This window comes from Homo sapiens, chromosome 12 (assembly GCF_000001405.40).
Source record: "Homo sapiens chromosome 12, GRCh38.p14 Primary Assembly".
In the NCBI taxonomy this organism is placed as follows: Eukaryota; Metazoa; Chordata; class Mammalia; order Primates; family Hominidae; genus Homo; species Homo sapiens.
The window spans coordinates 58955513-58977765 of NC_000012.12; the positions used below are offsets into that span (position 1 = coordinate 58955513).

The 22253-nt window shown below is 36.7% G+C and overlaps 1 long non-coding RNA gene across 1 annotated transcript in view, besides 2 other annotated features; it reads left to right on the forward strand.

The window, feature by feature from the left end:
• LRIG3-DT (LRIG3 divergent transcript) overlaps window positions 1–22253 on the forward strand; it is a 210172-nt gene that overhangs the window by 34809 nt on the left and 153110 nt on the right. The window lies entirely within an intron of this gene.
• Window positions 10247–10416: an enhancer, noted in NCBI's record as "experimental_30204 CRE fragment used in MPRA reporter constructs". NCBI's record gives its function as "activates a minimal promoter by MPRAs in K562 erythroleukemia cells, with activity observed for both the introgressed and non-introgressed 12:59359625 variant alleles {active_cell/tissue: K562}" and the evidence as "EXISTENCE:reporter gene assay evidence [ECO:0000049][PMID:34662402]".
• Window positions 12337–15225: an enhancer, noted in NCBI's record as "VISTA enhancer hs1468". NCBI's record gives its function as "enhancer in: limb[3/5]" and the evidence as "EXISTENCE:transgenic organism evidence [ECO:0001131][PMID:17130149]".

Sequence of the window (22253 nt, forward strand, 5' to 3'; positions counted from 1 at the left end):
TCTTCCTCTATCACCAGGCTGGAGTGCAGTGGCATGATCTTGGCTGACTGTAACCTCCGCCTCCTGGGTTCAAGCCATTCTCCTGGCTCAGCCTCCCGAGTAGCTGGGATTACAGGCGCCCACCACCACACCCAGCTAATTTTTGTATTTTTAGTAGAGATGGGGTTTCACCATGTTGGTCAGGATGGTCTCTATCTCCTAACCTCGTGATCCGCCTGCCTTGGCCTCCCAAAGTGCTGGGATTACAGGCGTGAGCCACCGTGCCTGGCATCTGATAATTTTCTTAGGATAGATGTCTAGAAGTAGAATTATTGCCTGCTATGAAGACATTTTAATGTCACACTTTTCTAAATTATTATGACTACAAGGCCATTTGGAAAAAAATACCCCACATCTACACATAAACTTCAAATCTTCCTTAAAATTTAATTAATGGGACTACTTACATTTTAGAAGCTTTTATGATGTGATGAGAGAAGGCAGCAGGCTAAGCAACGGGGAGACCATTCTCTAAGTCAAGCCTGACCTTTGCTCATTAACAGGCCACTGCCTTATCTTTGTATGAAACTCCTGGAGTTAATCCATACACAGAGTACCCATTGGTTTTGAATATGCTGTGTTCTCAGAGCAGCTTTTTAGGGGAACACAGCAAGAACAGAAATTAGGCCAAAGATTGCAGAGCATGTGCAGATGCTTAAAAGGCACAGCACAAAATGTTGTTTTTAATCACAATTCTTACAGACTTCTTTGTAACAAAAAAAAGAGCATAAAATAAAATTCTGTCCCAAAGGAGCAGTTAGCATGAATATAGGAATTCCAAGGTACATTATGAAATAAAGACAGAACGAGGCCTTGGGAAACATCTTTATTGTTGAAGCGGAAGTACCAGTGATTTGAATACTTCTTCAATCAGTACCAGTGATTTGAGTGTCCCTAAAGTGCTACTGGTGGTGGTAGAACTCAGTTCCCCAAAATATTTTTGCTTCTATTAGTAACCCACCTGCTTTTCTCTATTTTCTTGTTTAGTTCTTCACTTCTGTCTTTCATCCTGGCCTTATCATTCCCACCCCCCAAAAACCATTTATTTGGCTTTATCTTAGTTTACATATGTATATGTATATGCACACACACACACGTGCATGTATGTGTGCATGCATATGCATGTAAATATTTTTAAAAATATGTACGGTCTTCATTAGCCAATAGTCCTGGCCCTTAAGTGAAAATATAAATCATTATGCAATGTCCCCTCTTTATTCTTTGTCTTCACTTGGTGTTTTCATGCTGTCCCCTGTTCCAGGCAGATTTTTCCACCTGGGACCAAATTTGTCATGGCTATTTTCTGAAAAATGATGGCTAACTAATCGAGTGAGCAAACTCATGCTAAATGAAAGGGTATGTTCCTGGCTCTAGTAAACTGAAAAATGAAAGCAAGAGGCTTAAATACAAAGTGATTATAATGAGAATACATAAATTTCTAATAGCATTTAGGATTGTCTAGGAGATTAAGTTTCTGCAGTTATACCTTTCCTTAAATAACATACAAATGCCCCTTTCTCAATGCTCCCTCAGGGAAGGTAAAACTATGTATAATGTTACCTATTATATAGGATCTATTGGTTCTTTATTCAGAGGCTTAGGTTTAAATTCTTGACTTTCAAGGAACACTATAGAAAAAACTCCCCCTTGGTGACTCTCTAAATACCAAACAACTGTGGCTCCCAAATTTGGCTGCACATCTGAGTCCCCTGGAGAGATTTATAAAAATGCAATGAGGCCTGGGAATTTACATTTTTTCAAAAGCTCCCCAGTTGATTTTGCTGCTCAGCCAGGTTTGAGGACTGCTGTTAAAGTGGCTGCTTGGACATTAGCTAAGTCATTTTCTGTGCCTTCAGTGGATGTTCAGTAGGTGGCTAACAGTTATTGAGCATGTACATTGTGCCAATCACCATGACATTTTACAGCCAAGGAAATTTGTTTAGGTTTGTGAGTGGCAGAAACGGCGTTGAAGTGTCCAACCCTCATTTTTATGATGCTTCTCAACAAAACGTTGATTTAATTACCAAAAAAGGTAAGGGACAGGCTGAAGTTAAAAACTCACTCATTAACTCTCACATCTTAGTCAATCGGTTTCTTCATCATAAAATGGAAGTAATATCTTTTTAAGATACTTTTTTTTTTTTTTTTGAGACAGAGTCTCGCTGTATCGCTCAGGCTGGAGTGCAGTGGTGTGATCTCGGATCGCTGCAACCTCCACCTCCCGGGTTCAAGTGATTCTCCTGCCTCAGCCTCCCTAGTAGCTGGGACTACAGGTGCATGCCACAATACCTGGCTAATTTTTGTATGTTTAGTAGAGATGGGGTTTTGCCATGTTGGCCAGGCTGGTCTCGAACTCCTGGCCTCATGTGATCCACCTGCCTTGGCCTCCCAAAGTGCAGGAATTACTGGAGTGAGCCACCGCATCTAGCCAAGATACTTTTTACTTTATTATGAAATAATTTTATACTTAGAGAAGAGTTACAAAGCTAGTACAGAGAGTTTCTATATACGCTTCACCCAGCTTCCTCTAATGTTAATTTCTCATGTAATTTATATCTAATATAAACATTTTACATAACCATAGTATATTTATCAAAATAAGAAATTAACATTTGGGCTTCCCCAGTTTTTATACTATCTGAGTTCATTCAGGTTGCTATGAAAAATACCTTACACCTGTTAATTTATAGATAACAGAAACTTATTGCTCACAGTTCTGAAGGCTGGGCAGTCCAAGATCAATCCAAGATCAAAACACTGGCAGCTCTTTTGTAGAGTATCCTTCATTTTGAGTTTGTCTGATATATTCTTATTATTACATTGATGTTATGAATTTTGAGATATACCCCAGAAGTGATATATTTGTGTTGCATTGTACTGGGGCCTTTGTAAGATTTTTGACAAAAAATACATGTATTCTCTCATTAGATATATTTAAGTAACAGATAGATGACTATTTGCAATGCTGAATGAATCTCTGTGCTGTGTGGGGCTGGATCTTCAAGACCCCTTTCAACTCTAAAAGTCTAAAACTAATAATTGAGCATTGCAAATAAAAAGTCACATATGAAAGATGAATATGAAATTTGAGTAGAGCTAAAAGACTAGAGAATTAATTTTCCAAATAGTGATCCCTACTTTAAAGAGTATTAGGGTTTTCCTACCTGGGGGCTGAACTCAGAATGTGTTCTCTGCTTTGTACTGGGGGCTTTTCCCAATGTGGAATTGGGAATGTGGAATCCCAATGTGGAATTGACCTTCAGTCAATTTCCCCTTATTATAGCCCCTGAAGTGGCATCTGTAAATGCATGTTTGCTATGGGTAATTGAAGCTACTAGGTTTCTCTTGTGGTTTTCCTCTGTGTTACTAAAGATTAAATTGATGTGTAGTTGAGTAGCAAGCCATCTAATTTGAAAGATAGAAATGACCTGACTCTAACTATGAGTGTAGTTTGGATATGTTAAGTAACCTTTTTGTCTTAATTTTTCCAGCTGTGAAGCATAATTCCTACTGAAATATATTGACTTCTACAAGTATTGGACTAAAAACATATCTCCAGAAATATAACACCTACCCCTGGGAAAGTCTGATGTAACATGGTTAACCTAGAAGAGTTAATGCTGTGTGTCAACATATGCCTTGTAAAGGTGCTACATTATATAATTGTAAAAATGAAAACACTAAACAAAAGAGTTTATTTGAAATCTACTAAAGTCCCTCTGGTGAAAAGGAGGCACGATTTTAACACTGTAAATGCTATGTTGGCATGTCAGCTGTATATCTTGGAAAGACCACAGTGCTATGGAAAATGGTCTCAGAAATTAGAATGCCTGATTTAGCCAAAAGGCTTCAGCCACCTGCCAGATATATGACCCCCTAACAAATCATCTAATTGCACCACTTGGCTTCTTCATCTGTTACAGTAGACAATCAGACATGAATTCTAAGATTCCACCTCCTAAAATCTATAATTCTTTGATTTTTTTCAAGACCTCAGCCTACATATCCGTAAAGTGATTGATTCTGTCTTGCTAATACTGTTCATAAATACATATTTCTGATATTCCTTTGACCATTCAGAAAATGCTTGGCTACCCATTTTTTCCAGCCTGAAAAAGCAACTTAAAAAATGGTTAATCATTTGTTTGAAAAAATTGATACTTTTTTGTTATATATAAAATGACCTCTTCAATCTCAACAGAGAATATGGGATCTGGTCATGTTTGAAATAGAAAATGATGTCATAAGTAAATACGTATAAAATTTAATGATTAAACTATCTGCTCTAGATGTTCCAAGTTATTTTATTGGCATGAAAACTGTAAAGTGTTTGGAAAACAGTTTCATTGTGACAGGTATAATCAACACATTTTCTATAGTTGCAGACCTGTTCACAAACAATGTTAAAAGAAAAATAAAGTGACATAATGTCTGGGAAAGAATTCCCTAATAGAAACAGACCCAAGTCCATGGTTTGTGGTTTTGCAAGTATATAATTCCTTCTGGGAGGCCTTCTGGACAGATTTGTATCTATCCTAAAAGGAGTATCTATGTTTAACTGCACAAAGGTGATATCTCTTCTGTGTGGTCTGGTCCCTTCTGTTATCCTTGCTGATCTAAGAGAAAGAAGCATGTTACCCTATCAAACTCCAAACTACACTTTATGAACATCTACTTCCTTCTGTAACCTTTGCCAGCTCTAGCTAACCCTTAAAGGTTCAGGACAAAATACCTTTTGAGGGTCTTTAATGTCAGCTTCAGTCAATTTCTCATCATGCTGAAAGGCAAATGGAGCTTTGTGATAGGCCAAATGTGTCATGAATAAGCAAACATACCAATTCATGTTGAATTCTAGTGTGGGATCATTCCCATTTAAGAGTTATTTGTTTTTAAAAATAATGGGGAATCAAACTCTTCAATTATGATTTTTTGTAATAGTTTTAATGGTTTACAATAGACCACCTTCAAATAAATATATCAGCTGCTTTGGTGATCAGTTTCAAAATCAGAATATTCAAATTTACATAGAAAATGGCAAAATCAAACACACTTTTCAACAATGCCTATAAAACTTGTCATTACACTATAAATATGAATATCACACTCAATCTCAGTTGTGTAGTAAATGTTTAACAGCTAGCTCTCTGGGGGAAAACCTTTGATATTTGTAGTGTTTGCCCATGTTCATGGTGTAAATAATCTCATTATGGCCAATTTCAAGCAACCCAAGTTATTGAATATGGAATTGGGAAGAAATGTGTACAGTCAGCTCTAGTACACCACTGATCATACCCATTAGATGAATGAAGAAAGATGAAAACCATTTGGCAGAGTCATAGACGGCAAAAGGCCTGTTTCCCAGGTTCAGTCCTGCAAGCCCAGCAATTTCAGACGTAATTGCCTACTTCACAACATTAAGAATATGTTTCTGGTCAGGTGCAGTGGTTCGAGTCTGTAATCCGAGCTACTCAGGAGGCAGGGGTGGGAGGAAGGCTTGAGATCAGTAGTTCGAGACCAGCCTGGGCAATGTGGTGAGACTTTCTAAAAAAATTAATTAATTAAAAAAATAGTAATTTTCTGTACAAAAGTAGATTAAAACCAAATGTAATTTCTTTTTGATAATACTTTTTACCACTATTTAAAAAATGAATTCTTAAGAATTGAGTAATTTTCATTCAAAATTACATGTGTAAGAGATTCCTCTACATGAAATTAGAGAGTACTCTTAGGCTGTTCAGCCATACAAAGCAGACAAATAAGTGAATAGTGAGTGTCCTGTTGCTCAGCCACTGAATAAAGACAGCCCTGGAGATCTTAGCTGTCGCAGCTTCCTATAACTTTGAAGAAAAGAAATTTGAGAGCTAGGACTTTGCTCCCATGGGCTGTGCAACGCGATCTGGTTGCACCCTTTTGCCATGTCATAGAAAAGTCAAATCCTCTTCCTTACTTTTGGGTCCTAATTAAGCCTTATTTTAAAAGAACAGCTAAAATTACAATTCTGACATTTGACAGGAAAGACTCTGAAGATAAACTTGGCAAATGGTTACTTAAAGTTCTTAGCTAATGAAAGTATTTATTTGTTTTATGGTGTTTGCTGTAATCAGAACACATATACGTTCACACCTCTTTTGAATGCTTGTATTCATTAAATGTCTGCTTAAAATACCTCTTCCTCAGGCTAAGGACTTCCCTCTGCCCCATTTCTGGAGGGAATGTTCATTTAAATGTTACCTTCATAAATCTTTTAAAAATAAATATTTTACATATTTAAGATACACAACATGACATTATCAGATACATATATAGTAAAATGATTACTACGATGAAACCAATTAACATATTCATCATGCCATCTAGCTACTCACCCACCCCACATCCCCCCACCCTCGCCCCCATGACAAGAGCAGCTATAATCTCCTGAACACTTTTTCTGTTTCTCTTCTTTCTCTCCCTTTCTTCTTTCCTGCTGCCCTCTCTCCCCACTCCCCCCAGCTCTTTTCATGAAGAATGTGAAGAAATAAACCCGGAAATTGAAACACAAATACAGGAAATTCCAGGGTAAGCTTCATATGGGAGAGTTAATATGGTCATCAGGATGTTGCATTTTAGACTCTTCTGATGTATTGACTATACTAGTATAAGGTAACCAGATGTCCTACGTTAGGCAAGACGGTGTCTGAGATTTCAGCTTGTTTTCTCTTGACAATATTTCTCCTCAAATGCTGCTACTAAAGCCACCCTGTTTACTGGCTTATTTTGATTATAGAAATGCTGAAAGCCTCCCTGACAATCCTACTTGTCTTCTGGGGTCCTGGGAAGTGGGCATTTGACCGCATGTTCTCACTTATAGGTGGGAGCTAAACAATGACTACACGTGGTATTAAGGTGGAAAGAATAGACACTGGGGATTCCAGAAGGTGAAAGTGAGGGAAGGAGGCCAGGCTAAAAACTATCTAGTGGGTACTATGTTCATTATTTGGGTTCACTAGAAGCCCAACCCCCAATATCATCCAACATACCCATGTGACAAACCTGCACATGTACCCTCTGAATCTTAAGAATAAAAGAGAAAGAGAGAGGACACACAGATTTCCATTAAATATTTCAACTTTTCTGTGTGGCTGAAATTTTTCATTCAAATTAAAAAATAATAGGAAGAAAAAGAAAGTGGATATTTGATCTGAGATGAGCTACGATAGTACTCAAAAGGCAGCAGCAGAGAACTCAATCATTCACTAGCTGGACCAGTCATTGCCATCTAGCAGAGAACAAGTCCGTAGCCAAGGGCCTTCCTTTCTAGTGGCAGAGGTAAAGAAAGGTGCTTTGCTTGAGCATCATGAGGATTCTTTGCTTTACCAAACTTTAGTCAGGTTCCTGGACCTTCTCCTAGGCCCATCTGTGCACCTCCTTGTAAAATCCAGTTTTAGAAAGTCCCTGCTAAGTTTGTTTAGTCGGGATCCCCCATCCTTTGTATCAGATCATTCTTTATTTTATTTTATTTTATTTTATTTTATTTTATTTTATTTTATTTTATTTATTTATTTATTTTTTGAGATGGAGTCACCCAGGCTGGAGTGCAGTGGTGTGATCTCAGCTCACTGTGACCTCCACCTTCTGGGAGTCAGGCGATTCTCCTGCCTCAGCCTCCCGAGTAGCTGGGACTACAAGCACGCACAATCATGCCCAGCTAATTTTTTTTTTTTTTTTTTTGAGACGGAGTCTGGCTCTGTCACCCAGGCTGGAGTGCAGTGGCACAATCTCGGCTCATTGCAAGCTCCGCCTCCTGGGTTCACGCCATTCTCCTGCCTCAGCCTCCCGAGTAGCTGGGAGTACAGGTGCCCGCCACTACGCCCAGCTAATTTTTTGTATTTTTATTAGAGACGGGGTTTCACCGTGTTAGCCAGGATAGTCTTGATCTCCTGACCTTGTGATCCACCCGCCTCGGCCTCCCAAAGTGCTGGGATTACAGGTGTGAGCCACCGTGCCCGGCCTTTTTTTTTTTTTTTTTAGTAGTGACGGGCAGGCTGGTCTCGAACTCCTGACCTCAAGTGATCCGCCTGCCTCGGCCTCTCAAAGTATTGGGATTACAGGCATGGGCCACTACACCTCGCCAATATCAGATCATTCTTGATATCTTATCAGGTTCTTCCTTCTCCACCACTCCCCAAGTGATGTCTGATCTCCCTGGTCTTCAGCAAGAATCCATTTAGGATGGTTTAGTAAGAAACTCCAATACCCACAATGTTTCCTTTATCCACTGACCCTCACCCTGCTCCTTGGCTATAAAGTCCCACTTGCCCATGCTGTATTTGGAATTTAATCTAGTTTTGTACTGAGGTCTCTTTTCACCTATTACAATAGTCCTGCAAAAATTTGGTTTTACTGTTTTAACTGCTGTCCAGCTATAGTTTTTCTTTGAACCAGCATTGATGCAAGCAGCACCTGGAGACAGGAGAAGAGGGAGGCTAGTAAGAAGGAAGTAATTATCTTAAGGATCAGTGAAGTAGTAAAAGCCGAAGGCTACCTGGACACACTTGACATTTCCCCTGCCCTATTGTTCTCAGAAAATTCTGTCTCTAGCTTCATTTCCTGGTCTTACTTTCACCCCCACTTTAAATTATATCTATCTATCTATCTATCTATCTATCTATCTATCTATCTATCTATCTATCTATATATGTACTTATATATATATATATGTGTGTGTGTATTTTGTTGCTTTTTTTTGAGATGAAGTCTTTCTCTGTTGCCCAGGCTGGAGTGCAGTGGCACGATCTCGGCTCACTGCAACCTCCGCCTCCCGGGTTCAAGCAATTCTCCTGCCTCAGCCTCCCGGGTAGCTGGGATTACAGGTGCCTGCCACCACGCCTGGCTAATTTTTGTATTTTTAGTAGAGACAGGGTTTCACCATGTTGGCCAGGCTGGTCTCGAACTCCTGACCTCAGGTGTTCCACCCACCTGGGCCTCCCAAAGTGCTGAGATTACGGGTGTGAGCCACCACACCTGGCCTGTATTTTTTTATTTTTATTTTTATTTTTTGAGATGAAATGTCTTCTGTGGCCCAGGCTGGAGTGCAGTGGCACTCCAGTAACATCAGTAGGGATAGCATCAGGTTCAGGAGGCTGAGAAAGAGACTCAGATCCAGCAAACAGGACATGGGGTCTTATTGAAGGAAACTTACACATAGAGCTGGTCCAGTGGCAGTGAGCTGTACAGGAGAACTGCAACCACTTGCAAGAAGCATGTGGTTTATATGACATTTCACTTAGCACCCTCTCCCTAACAACCTCCACCTGGCAGCCTTCATTTAACCCAAAACAAAGGGGCTTGATTCCTCGAGTGGCCCGTGTTCCAAGGGAACAGGCCAGAAACTCAGGTGTTCTTCATAGATAAGGAATGAATCTTGGTGTTGGCTACTCCTAGGTTCCACAGTTTGGAATTCTGAACGTATATACATTCAGGTGCATCTACCAAACAGGGTCATTCTCAGGATTTGATTAAGATTTTGCTATCGGGTATGTCTACTATACATGATCATAGCTTACTGCAGCCTCTAACTCCTGGGGTCAACAGATCTTCCTGCCTCAGCCTCCCTAGTAGCTGGGACAACAGGCAGGTGCCACCACACTCAGCTGATTAAAATTTTTTGTTGTTGTTTGTTTTGTTTTAGAAGTAGAGTCTCACTATGTTGCCCAAACTGGTCTTGAACTCATGGCATCAAGCAATCCTCCTGCTTCAGTCTCCTAAGTAGCTAGGATTACAGTCTCCAACCACTGTACCGGGCATCCACGCACCTCTATAAAAATTCGTTTACTTTTGTTGCTCAAGATAATACTTATTTGTGAATCCAGTGGGCATTTATTCCTCGAATTTCCACAACCAGGGGAAAAGCCTATCAACTTGACTTGATTGATTCTCTGTTATCTGACAATGCCCATTTCCTGATTTTACACATCAGATGGATTTCTTAACCCAGAGCATTATCAACCTATCAGTGAAGATGCATCCCACATCTGTGCTGAGTCTCTATATTTGAAATCACATCTGAAATTTATGTTGATTTTCTGCTAGTGATGAAATCCTACATTTAAATTTGTGCCACCCCATAGTTATATAAGTAAATAGAGTCTGGTCAGAGTATGTGGAGTATCCAAGCCTTCCATGAGCTGATCCACTCATGTTTCTAGTCTGACCTTCTGTCATTCATTACCTGCCACACCCAAACCTGAGCTCCTAGCATGCGCACAGTTGAATCATCAGGCACACTTTGCAGCTTCCTATTTGTCTGTCTCCGTACAGGCTTTTCCTTCTGGCTGGAATGGACTCCTCTCGACTTCCCTTTTCTCACCTCTGCTTGAAATATGTGCACCTTTTCATAATGGTAAGACAAATAAAATAAATTCAGTTTGAAGTTTTAACAAGGAAAAAGAAATCTGAAATGTAAAGGCCAATAATAATCTGCATCTGCCCCAACATGGTGTTTGGAATTTTTCAACCATGATAAAGAATGATCTAAGCAAGGGTGTTTTTACACCATTCTTCTAATGTTCTTTATTTCTTACTGGTGTCAAGACCTCACTGATGTGAGACAACCATGACAATGATGCGGAGGGTCTGATTCCATATATATGTACAAATAGCAAAATCTCAGCAGTCCTGAGCTTTTCTAACGTATGTATATGTTGACATATAATACAATATGTCATCTATGTTATATATAAATGTGAAAGAAAATTGTTTTAAAAATAGTTTTTTAATTTTCCAGGGCAAATACTCCTCTTCCAAAATATAACTTCTGTAAGACAGAAATGAACAATAGGAGCCAAGAGTAATATATTTCATTCATTTATTATTCATTCAAAAACTATTTTTGAGTGCCGGCTATCTGACAGACACTGTACTAAGGAAGTAGCATTGAACAAGCAGTGCCTTTATAGATCAATAGTTTTGTAGAGGAAAGTGGAAAATAATAAGCATAATAATAATACTTAACAATATAACAACAGCAATAAGATTACATTGTAATCAGTAGTATGATAAAGGAGTCAGAGTTATGCCCAGCATACGTAAGGCTATCTAACAGGGCAAAGATGGAGGCTTTGACTAGAAAAATAAAGTTTTTTTTTTTTTCTTTGAAAGCTTTCAAACAGCAGAACATGATCAAATTTGCATTTCGTAAGATCACCTTGAAGGGAATAAATTGGTTAGGCATGAAGTCACATACGATGAAAATAGAACTGTCCCCAGAAGTTTGGTAGGGGTCGTCTAGAAGTTCAAATACTTCTAAGCAGAGTGAAAGCATATCGGGTAGCTCTGGCAATACATTTCAGGAGGGAATATGCACGTGCAGGTCCATATTTGGAAGTAAAGGACGCAGGATGGCCTTGTCAAGGCCTTACTAAACCAAGGTCCTGGAGGGACTTGTGTTCATTGCTAGGCAGGTAGGATGGAGGAGGCTGACCTCACTGGGTGCAAAGTAGTCGGGTGTTAGGAGTTCCCGAATGCTCTCCTCCCTGCCACCAGTGTGCCTCTCCTGCACTCCATGTTTTGATTTGTGATCATTTTAGACCATGACTCAGCACATATGACTCTCTTCTCTCATAGGAGACTTTGCCTTCTGTTTGCTGCTTGGCCTCACAACTTCCCATTCTCTGAGCAGATGTACAAGCCATTTGCCAGTCATAGAAATTTCCCTTTCTAAAATCAATACAACTTTCAAAATGAAGCTGTGGGTTTATTAAGATAATTGCAAATGGTAACATATCTGAGAGAAAATCTTAATAGAAAGTTATTTAGAATACAAGTCAGAAAAAATCAATGTGTTTATTGAGGTAGACATTAGTCTAGACATTAAATACCATTAACAAAATAGTCTCACCTGTTATTTCCACCTAAACTCTATTTTCAAATTTAGGCATGCCTTTTAAACTCTTCCTTATGTTGTCATTGAACCTGGTTAGATGCTGTTATGGTTAGGCTTTGTGTCCCTACTCGAATCTCATCTTGAATTGTAATCCCCAGGTACTGAGGGAGAGACCAGGTGGGAGATGATTGATAATGGGGGCGGTTTCCCCTATGCTGTTCTTGTGATAGAGAGTGAATTCTCATGAGATCTGATGGTTTTATAAATGGTAGTTTTTTCTGTGCTGACACATGCTCTCCCTGGCCTGCCGCCATGTAAGACGCACCTCTTCCCCTTCCGTGCCTCTTCATACTTCATGCATGACCAGAAAGCTGTTGCATGACATCATGCCTCATCCTCTGTATACAGATAGTGGACAAATAATATAAAGGGAGCAAAAAGCCACTTCTTTCCAGGAATATTCTAGTCCTTCAAATTGAAAGTGATGATCAAATGAAATGAGTTACTTCTAGTCTTTAAATGGAACAGAATTTAGACATTATGAAATTTAACTCTAGATGTTAAGGCAGACTTTGGATTCATCATGGAGAATATACCAAATGCTTAAAAGATTCTTACTTTGCTTATAGCTTTGGATGATCTTTGATACTGAGAATCACAAAGAATTATACTCTAAGTAATCACAGATGTACTGTGAGAGAATGGTTTCTTATACACACTGATACAGTTAGATTTGACTTTTAATTTTTCTTTTGGTACAATATATACCATAGTAATGTAATCAGATTCTAAACTCTAATTTTACTTGCTAAGTTTCCATATTTATTTTGTTGATAACTGATGCATGATTTATGAACATGTGTGCTTTTCTATTATGTGTTCATATTTCACTTCCTTAGAGTTTTACTGTTATTTCCTACAGTAAAGGAGCTACTTTTTTTTAAAAAAACTAAATTATATTTCATATATTTAGGATAGTTTATTTCCTTTGATACTCATTTATAATTAATGAAGCAAAGTTTAAAATTTTTAATAGGATAACGTTTGAAATTAATAGTGTTTTGAAAAGTAGAGATGTAAAAATCCTTGGCAAGAGTTTTTATCTCATATAGACTGAATGAATTATTAAAAGCGAACTTCTACCTAAATCTAAACCTTATTTTCTTCATTATATTGATTTTCTTGTTCCATGAAAACCTATCAAGTTTTCTAGAAAGTTTATGGTAATATTTTTGTGTTCTTTAGTCATAACTTATTTTCATGTAATACATGTAATATATAGGTTTTTGGGGATAATTTTCAGTAGTCTTTCTAGATTACAAAATGGATACCTATGGAAACATAAATGTATATAATTTTGAATATAAAACCATTTGTAGAATGTAATAGGAACACATTCAAAGCAAACCTGCATCACAATCTTTTGCAAAGTAGAGAATATTCATACCATGAATACTGACCATCTATTATATCTCTCTGGATTCTGCTACTTTATGATTTTCATAAACATGACTATTTTCCTTCATGTGAAGACTAAAGATAAAATGCCTCTCTCCCTGATCAAACTTCTTCACACTGTTCTCCAGTAGCATCTTTTCCCACTTCAACATCTGGTAAAGCAGCCTAAAGACAAGAAAGTATTTCCTGCAGGGAATGCAATTTTTGGCCTTCTTGGTAAGGAGGACTTCAAATGAAACCAGACCTGGCTATGAGCTACCCATCCATCTTAATATTGCCTGGACTGAATTCACTTGGGGTAATCCTTACTTTCATTTGCAAAGGAATTGTAATCTGCTGTACTTTATTTGTGGTTTTTGAGAATAGCTTTTCTGTCTTCTATACTCTTCCTTAATATTACTTCCTCTGAGCCAGCCTGTCTAGCCTGGTTCTGAGTATAAATAGCTCCAAGTGTGGAGCACTAATGCCCTGCTATTGCTGGGTTATGTGAAACCCTTTTTTTGTGTTGAACACAAGAAGCCCATGATTATTCCTACCACAGATTCTCACATTCTTAATCAGTTCCACCTGGCCAATAAACAGTAACGCCAGGACAGCTTCTCTTCTGTGTGGGTTTTCTACTTTATGGGTAATAAAACTGTCCTTGGTGTTATTTAGGAATCCCTTTGATGCCTACTAGTTTACTGTATTGATATTTCAGGGGTATTGGCAGTCGCTGGTGAGCCTTCATTACTGGCATCCCTGAACTGTGGCAATGAAGTAGTTTGGGTAAATAATGGCGGGGTGGGGAACACAGCTGGTAAAGCTTTTTTTTTTTTTTGTACTTACATGTATCAAGGAAAAATTTAGAAGTGGCCTTATGGAAACAAGCAAGGCTAAGAAATGGTTAGATTTCTTTCAAACCTACAGGAAGGAAGTAAGGAAAGAAAGAAAGAGAGAAAAAGGAGAGAGAAGATGCAATGTAATTTTTTGAACTTGTAAACACCTCACATTGTTTATTTGCAATGGTATTTTGTTAAAATCGTTACTAGATACCAAGCTCCTAGTCTGCAAGTTAAAAAGATGAAGCTGGGCTAATTCTCAGCTTCTTTGTATTGAATTAGCTAGTAAAAATGCTCTCTGCAGATGTTAGGGAAGAGAGGGTATTAAGGGCATTCTTTGTCATCACTTTTCTAGTTCCAAGTTTGAGTTCCATTTTCAGTACATGGTTTCAGTAACGTGTAAATGTTTCTTGAAAGGTGGCTTATATTTTTATTTTTATTATTAATGTTTTTTTTAACCAACCGGTGTAGGATATTTGAAATGGGAAAGACTACATGGTAATAGAAAATGAACTCATGTTAGATCAAAAGAAACAAATAACCGATGCATCCAAGAAAAGTAAATGCTTTGTGAACTTGAAGAGCTCTTGTTGGATGGCACTATTTATTTTGAACAAATTATTTTAACCACATTAACTGTTAAAATGGGGACTCCTTTGGGCTTTGAAACAGCTTTTGATATAGTGCCTTTCTTTGTATTAGTATTACTTATTCTTACCTTAATTAATTATTGCGGTCACTTCTTGAATGGAATAAATGCCATCAGCCTTGTCATTACTATCACCATCATATTTTTATCATAAACAATATTAACTGGCTACAGTGTAAAGAGTTTCGAGTGTGTTTTATAATATACAAGAGAGACCTCTCCTGTCAGTGCCTAGTGCCCAAATGTCGTTTATCAAATGTATGATTACTGTTGGCATCATTATGTATACTTTTAAAGATTCAAGTTTTTCTTTGAAAGTACTTTTCCCCCTGCTTTTAAAAAATATTTCTATAGGTTTTTAAAATGTTAATCAGGAGAGATAAAGCCATTTTGCAGATGGTGAAATAAACTACTTGAGATAGCACAGTACATTAATATGAGCAGAATGTGTATGTGGGTGTTCATGTGTGTGCATGTGTTTAAGCTCATCCATTCAACGAATATGGACCCAGCATCGATTATACATGTGCTCGGTGCTGTAATAGTTGCTGGAATACAAAAATGAATAATACAGAGTTACCATCCTTGAGAATCATATAGTGTCATGGGGTGATAGATTTTCAAAACAAGTAATTACAATAAAAATGATAGTACTGTAATAGAGGCCAACTGTGCCTGGAGGAATTGAGAAAGACTCTCTGAAGAGGTAACGTTTGAATGGAGCTTTGAGTGTTGAACTAGGGTTTGGCAAGAGTAGAGCAGAGAAGAATGTTGCAGTTAAATGGAGAAGTTGAAGAGATTTTGAGGATTAAGAGCACATGATCTGTCTGGAAATAACTGGAGTACAGATAATAAAAACAAGAAATAAGTTCTTGTATGCTATTGCATAGCAGCATGACTATAGTTAACAATATTGTATTGTATATTTTAAAATAGCTGTAAGAGACAATTTTGCATGTTCTCATTGCAAAGAAATGATAAGTGTCAGAGGTGATGGATATGCTACATACCCTGATTGGATTATTACACAATGTATACATGTTTCAAAACATCACACTTTGCCTCATACATATGTACAAATATTAAGTATCAATTAAAAATATTTTAAAAGAAAAAAAGTAAATATGGCAAAATGTTAAAAAAAATTCACAACCCTACCTCCAGCAAATTTTCTGCAGTTATTATTCTGGTATTTATTTTTGGTTGATTTTCTCCTAAGACTAGTTCAGAGAGCTATAGAGTCTAACTAATTTTTAGTTCAATCTCTCTCTTTTTTACATATGAACACTAAGTTTCATCTGTTAGCAACTTTTTGAAGCTAAACACGTTGTATACTAAAATATATTTAGTGTGTTTTTCCACTTCTTGTTTCAAGATGAGAATATTATCAGCGTTCTTTAGGAAATTTCCCATACCACTTCACGGCTCTCCTTTAGACCTTAAAATACCTAGTATTTTCAGTCCCTCCCACCTCCAATATTTCTGTTTTAGAATTTCACTTGTCCTTTATTTATACTGGTAGTGTTCAAAGGAAGTTTTCTTTTATGACATTCTTATATGAAACTCCAGTATAGAAATCAGATTAAAATTTTTTTATACAAAGATGTATATTGAGTTCAAATTCATATAATATGCTTATTATAAATCTGTTAATAAGAACAATGAAATTACTTTGATTAGCACAAAAATTTAAAAGGTATATTAGAGAAGATAGTTGTAACCTTATATCAACTGTAGCATCAAATTGATTTCTGTATTATTTGGTTTCACAATATTGAGAAAATCCTGATTCACACATTAAAGTGGTTACAAATGGTAGCAGTGTTTTTTGTTTCCTCATTTGTTTTTATTTTATTTTTAATTTTTGTCTGTACATAGTAGGTATATATACTTATTGGATACATGTGATGTTTTGATACAGGCATACAATGTACAATAGTCTTATCAGGGTGAATGAGGTACCCATCACCTCAAGCATTTATCATTTCTTTGTGTTAGAAATATTCCAATTCTATTTTCTTTTTTTTAATGTGCAATAAATTATTGCTGACTATAGTCCACCCTGATGTGCTATCAAATACTAGATCATATTCATTCTATCTAACTATATTTTTGCACCCATTAACCATCTCCACAACCCACCCCAACCCTTTTTAAAACAACCTGCCTTGAAGTTTCAAGATACTCTTCATCTAAAATGATCCAGAAACTCAGAAAAGTTGCTGGAATTTTTTGTCCAAGATGATGCAGCAAAATCTAATATGTGAACCTATTTTCATTGTTAAATATTCAGCTGAGAGGTGGTTAATGTATTTCTTTTCTTTCTTTCTTTTTTTTTTTTTTTGTTTTTTTTTTGAGACAGAGTCTCACTCCATCACCCAGGCTGGAGTGCAGTGGGAGGATCTTGGCTCAATGCAACCTCTGCCTCCCAGCTCAATTGATTCTCTTCCCTCAGCTTCCTGAGTAGCTGGGACTACAGGTGTGCACTACCTTGCCCCGCCTTTTTTTGTATTTTTAGTAGAGATGGGGTTTCACCATGTTGGCCAGGCTGGTCTCGAACTCCTTCACCTCAGGTGATCCACCCGCCTCTGCCTCCCAAAGTGCTGGTATTGCAGGTGTGAGCCACCGTGCCCAGCCTGGTTAATATGTTTCTTAGCCAGCCTAAATTGTCATTGTTGCCTGGAAAAATACTCTTTCAAATGAATTTCTTGTAATGGGAGGTTTGATAATAAAATAATATATATGAACTAAAAACAATGTAATTTCTTCTTCTCTCTAATTTTTACTTACTAGTGTCTCTGGTAAAAGGGTTTATGCGGGAGCAAGTTGGTTGACACTTGTCATCAGTCTGCCACAACTTGTAGATAGTTGAAAGTATGTTAGAAGAGAGGAGTGAAAAATGCAGCAATTCTAAACCAGAATGGCAGGGTCTCCATGGAGGGCCTCATGACCACATACCTCATTCTTCCAGAATTATTATATCTGCTCATATGAGTTCTCTGTGCATCCTTGCATTTATTAATAATGTATACTTAGTCTTTTAAAAAAGTACTTGAAATCATAAAGATTTTGATAGCTTGATACTATTTGATCACAATGAACATAGGGAATTTCTTACAATTATATAAAGTCAACATTTCTAGCTGGTTTTAAATAAGAAAATAACCTAGGCATTGATAAAATTGACTTTCAGTAAATCTGAAGTGTGAGGGGGAAATATTTTATCATGGTGTTTGTCTCTGTGAGTTAATATTTATAATACTTTTTCTCATTTATTTTTCAATGGAGATAAAATTTATGCAAACACTAATAAATCAGTGTCATCCTAATTGAAACTTGGCAAGTGAGAGACACTCGGTTACCTGTCCTACGTTATGCACGCCCACCCTTTCATACTTGGGGCAGATGAAAAGGGGAAATGTCAAGATATCACTTGAAAAATGCATTTTTAAAAGTTAAATTAACAAAAAGTAAGACTTACAATTTAGGAAGTGATGGGGGGTACCACTGATGAATACTTTGCTGCACTGTATTTCAGCAATGCAGTCCAGCATTGAAGGTCTCTTTTATTTCATAAAGAAGTATACTTTTCTGTAGAAAATTTAAATATTTTAACCTGCAATGCATTACAGGGGAAATTATTTATGAAACCACAAAAACAAAAGGTATTTATTCTACCATGGAAATATACATTTAAAAAAATGTCCATCTATAGTTATTTCAGTCCTTCAATGTAGTATGGACATATTTTTGAGGCTATGTCTGGGCACACAAGCTTTTAATGTAACTCAGTTAAAAGTAAATTTATTAAAGATGTAATTTGTGGGATTATGTATGCTATGAAACCTGGTCTGCTTTAATTATGACAATTTCTTTATCCATTGATGGGCACTTGGGTTGATTCCATATTTTGGCTATTGTGAATAGTGCTGCAATAAACATGAGAGTGCAGACATCTCTTTGATGTATTGATTTCCTTTCTGCTGGATATATACCCAGTAGTGAAATTGCCAGATCGTAAGGAACTTCTTTTAGTTTTTTGAGGAGCCTCAATACTGTTCTCCAGAGACTATACTAATTTGCATTCCCACCAATGGTGTATGAGGCTTCCCCTTTTCACAGTGATTTCTAAGGACTTTACCTTTACATATGGGACCAGAGTATGAACATTTTGAACACCATATGAGGTGATATGGAGATTCAAGGCTCCAGTCCCTGAGTAGCACTCAGTTGTCCCTCAAAGCCACCAACACCGGAAAGAACTAGTCAACATATTCCTGGAAGTGACTCCCTTGGTCAGTAGCTGCTAAATGATCTTGGGCAAGCCATTTCTCCTTTTTCACATATGTGATTTTTAATGTCCTTTTAAGCTAAAAAGCATTACCTCCATTCTAAGGAGGTAATGCTTGCTATCTTTTTGAAAGCGCAGTACTTTCAGAGGATAATCATTAAGATGTGGTGATTCTCATCTTAAACAGTACAACAAAGTGTATATTTCTTGAGCCCTCATTTATATATAATAATGGTGTAAATGGTGTTTATTAAACTAATGGGTAAATGGTGTTTATTAAACTATGTTGACATTTGTTAAACTCCCCATGTTAAGGCTGAGAGAGCCTGGGAACCAATGAATAAGAATTCCAAAAAAATCACATCACATTATGCCATTTTCTCTGAATTTTCTCTTTTTCACAGAATCCTATTTGTTAAAACCCTAGCTTCATGCTATTCTTTCTCAGTTGTCCACCATTTCAGATTCATTGTATTCATTAGGCATGACAGGCACATAGCTTAGGTCCTAGTAGCTTTTTAAAGGTCCTTTGGAAATATTTGAGCCCTGAAAACAAATGATGTCTTCCAAAGTCCAAAAATAAAACCATAAAACCAGCATTGATAAATGTTTAATGAAATGCCTACAAAATATAATATTAAGTCAACTTCATTAATTGTTAAAATTAGTATTCATAAAATTTTCATAATATTTGGAAATAAACTGTAATTTAGATTTCTCTTTTTGTAAGAATTTCTGAGTATGCAAAATGATTATCATAAAATTATAACCAATTGTAAATTCAGTGAGATGCTTAGCCAAAGAATTTCAAGAGCAAAGTTACAGGAAATCCTTTCATAATTTTGTACTAAAAAATTGAATTTATATGTAATCTGTGAAAACTTTAATACGTTGTTTATTAGGTATAAAAATCAAATAACAATCACTAACATTTATCAGATGTTCATTATGTGCCAAATATTATTCTAAGATCTTGTTCATTATGAATGTGCTATTGATTTTTTTCTCTCTCCCTCTACTCCATATCTAATCAATCTCCAGCCAGACATTTCACTTGTATTTTTTCCTTAAATCCATCCGATTACTTTTCTCTCCATTGACACCTGCCCGTCCTCCAACTCAGAATCCCAGTATCTTTTGACTAAACTACTTCAAAAGTCCTCCTGCATCCCCTCCTGTCTCCAGTGGTAGAGTAAACCTATAAAAGGGAAATTCTGCTTTAAGCCTTTTCATGGCTCCAATTACTATTATGATAAAGTATGAAATCCTAAACATGACCTCAAGTCTCACCCTTTTGCAACCAGTCTGTTTTCAGGGGCCCCTCTTTATGCTATACCCAGAGAAATTGAACATCCTCCATAGCCTCCTGCCTCAGGGACAGGACAGGAGCCCCGAGGTTTGCGCAGGGCGGGTGTGTCTCATACAGGGAGGCACTGGCAGTAGAGTAAGACCCATATGAATCTGAGGCTACTGTCAAAAGGAGGGCATGAGTTCCCACTGGGAGGGAAAGGAAGGAACACTTATTGAGGCATGGCAACACTTGCAGGGCCTGGCTAGGTGTTGGACATGCACCGTCTCATTGAATACTCCTAACAGCCTGTGAGGTTGATCTTATGATTGTGTGCACAGATGAGATGTGCAGGGCAGCACAGCTAGTGAAAATTAGACTTGGAATTTGAAACTTGACTCTCAAGCCAGTGTTTTTCCACGCACCATGCTGTTCTGCCTTGTTGTTTCATCACTGTTATAACCCCAGTCTACCACAGAGTCTCAAGACAAGGAGTATCTACCCAATAAATGTTGGGTGAATTTGGAATGTCAGAGTAAGTCACCTTTAGTCTAGGGGCTTTTCCTTTGAAGAAAAACACTGTTTTCATCCTGGGAGTTGAAACAGGTTTTGCAGAGGCTTTGTGACCTTATCCATCTATCTATGTATATATCTATGTATCTGTGTATCTCTCTATCTATCTATCTATCATCTATCTATCTATCTATCTATCTATCTATTTATGTATAGGTAACTATATTCTAGAGGTTTGAGACCATACTAGTAGGATACTGTTATGGATACAACACACACACACACACACACACACACACACACACACACACATATGAGATATTAGAAATATATCATATTAAATATATATCTGATATATGTATCATATATATCTTATATATGTATCTCAGATATATATCTGATACATATGTAATATCTGATATAAAATCATATACATCATATATGAAACATATAATGATATATATAATATAGATGTATATATTATATATGTATAATATGTATATATACATATATTATATGTATTATGTATATATGTGTATATATTGTGTATATATACAATATATAGATGTATATTATATATAGATGTATCCATAACAGTATCCTACTAGAATGTATATATATAACATATCCTACTAATATATACACACATACACAGACACACACACACACACACACATATATGAGATATTAGAAATATATCATATTAAATATATATCTGATATATGTATCATATATATCTTATATATGTATCTCAGATATATATCTGATACATATGTGATATCTGATATAAAATCATATACATCATATATGAAACATATGATAATGATATATATAATATAGATGTATATATTATATATGTATAATATGTATATATACATATATTATATGTATTATGTATATATGTGTATATATTGTGTATATATACAATATATAGATGTATATTATATATAGATGTATCCATAACAGTATCCTACTAGAATGTATATATATAACATATCCTACTAATATATACACACATACACAGACAGACACACACACACACACACACACATATTTCCAGCATGTCTGTTATGAAGTGTTTACTCAGAAGTAAAATTTAGCAGTTTTTCAAATATGATGACATAGTATTGCAGTGGCTTTTAAAAAGTACCTGGGTACATTGTTTAGTTTAGTTTTTATTAGCATGTATATATAAATATTTTAAAATGTTCTCTCGAGCGGGCAGGTAAGCACTTGGAGGCTTGCCTGGCAGCAGCTTACCAGCAGCCAATGGATTTCTCATGCCAAAAGCTCCTTCTTTCAGCAAAGGAACAGATGAGCGTCCAGATGAT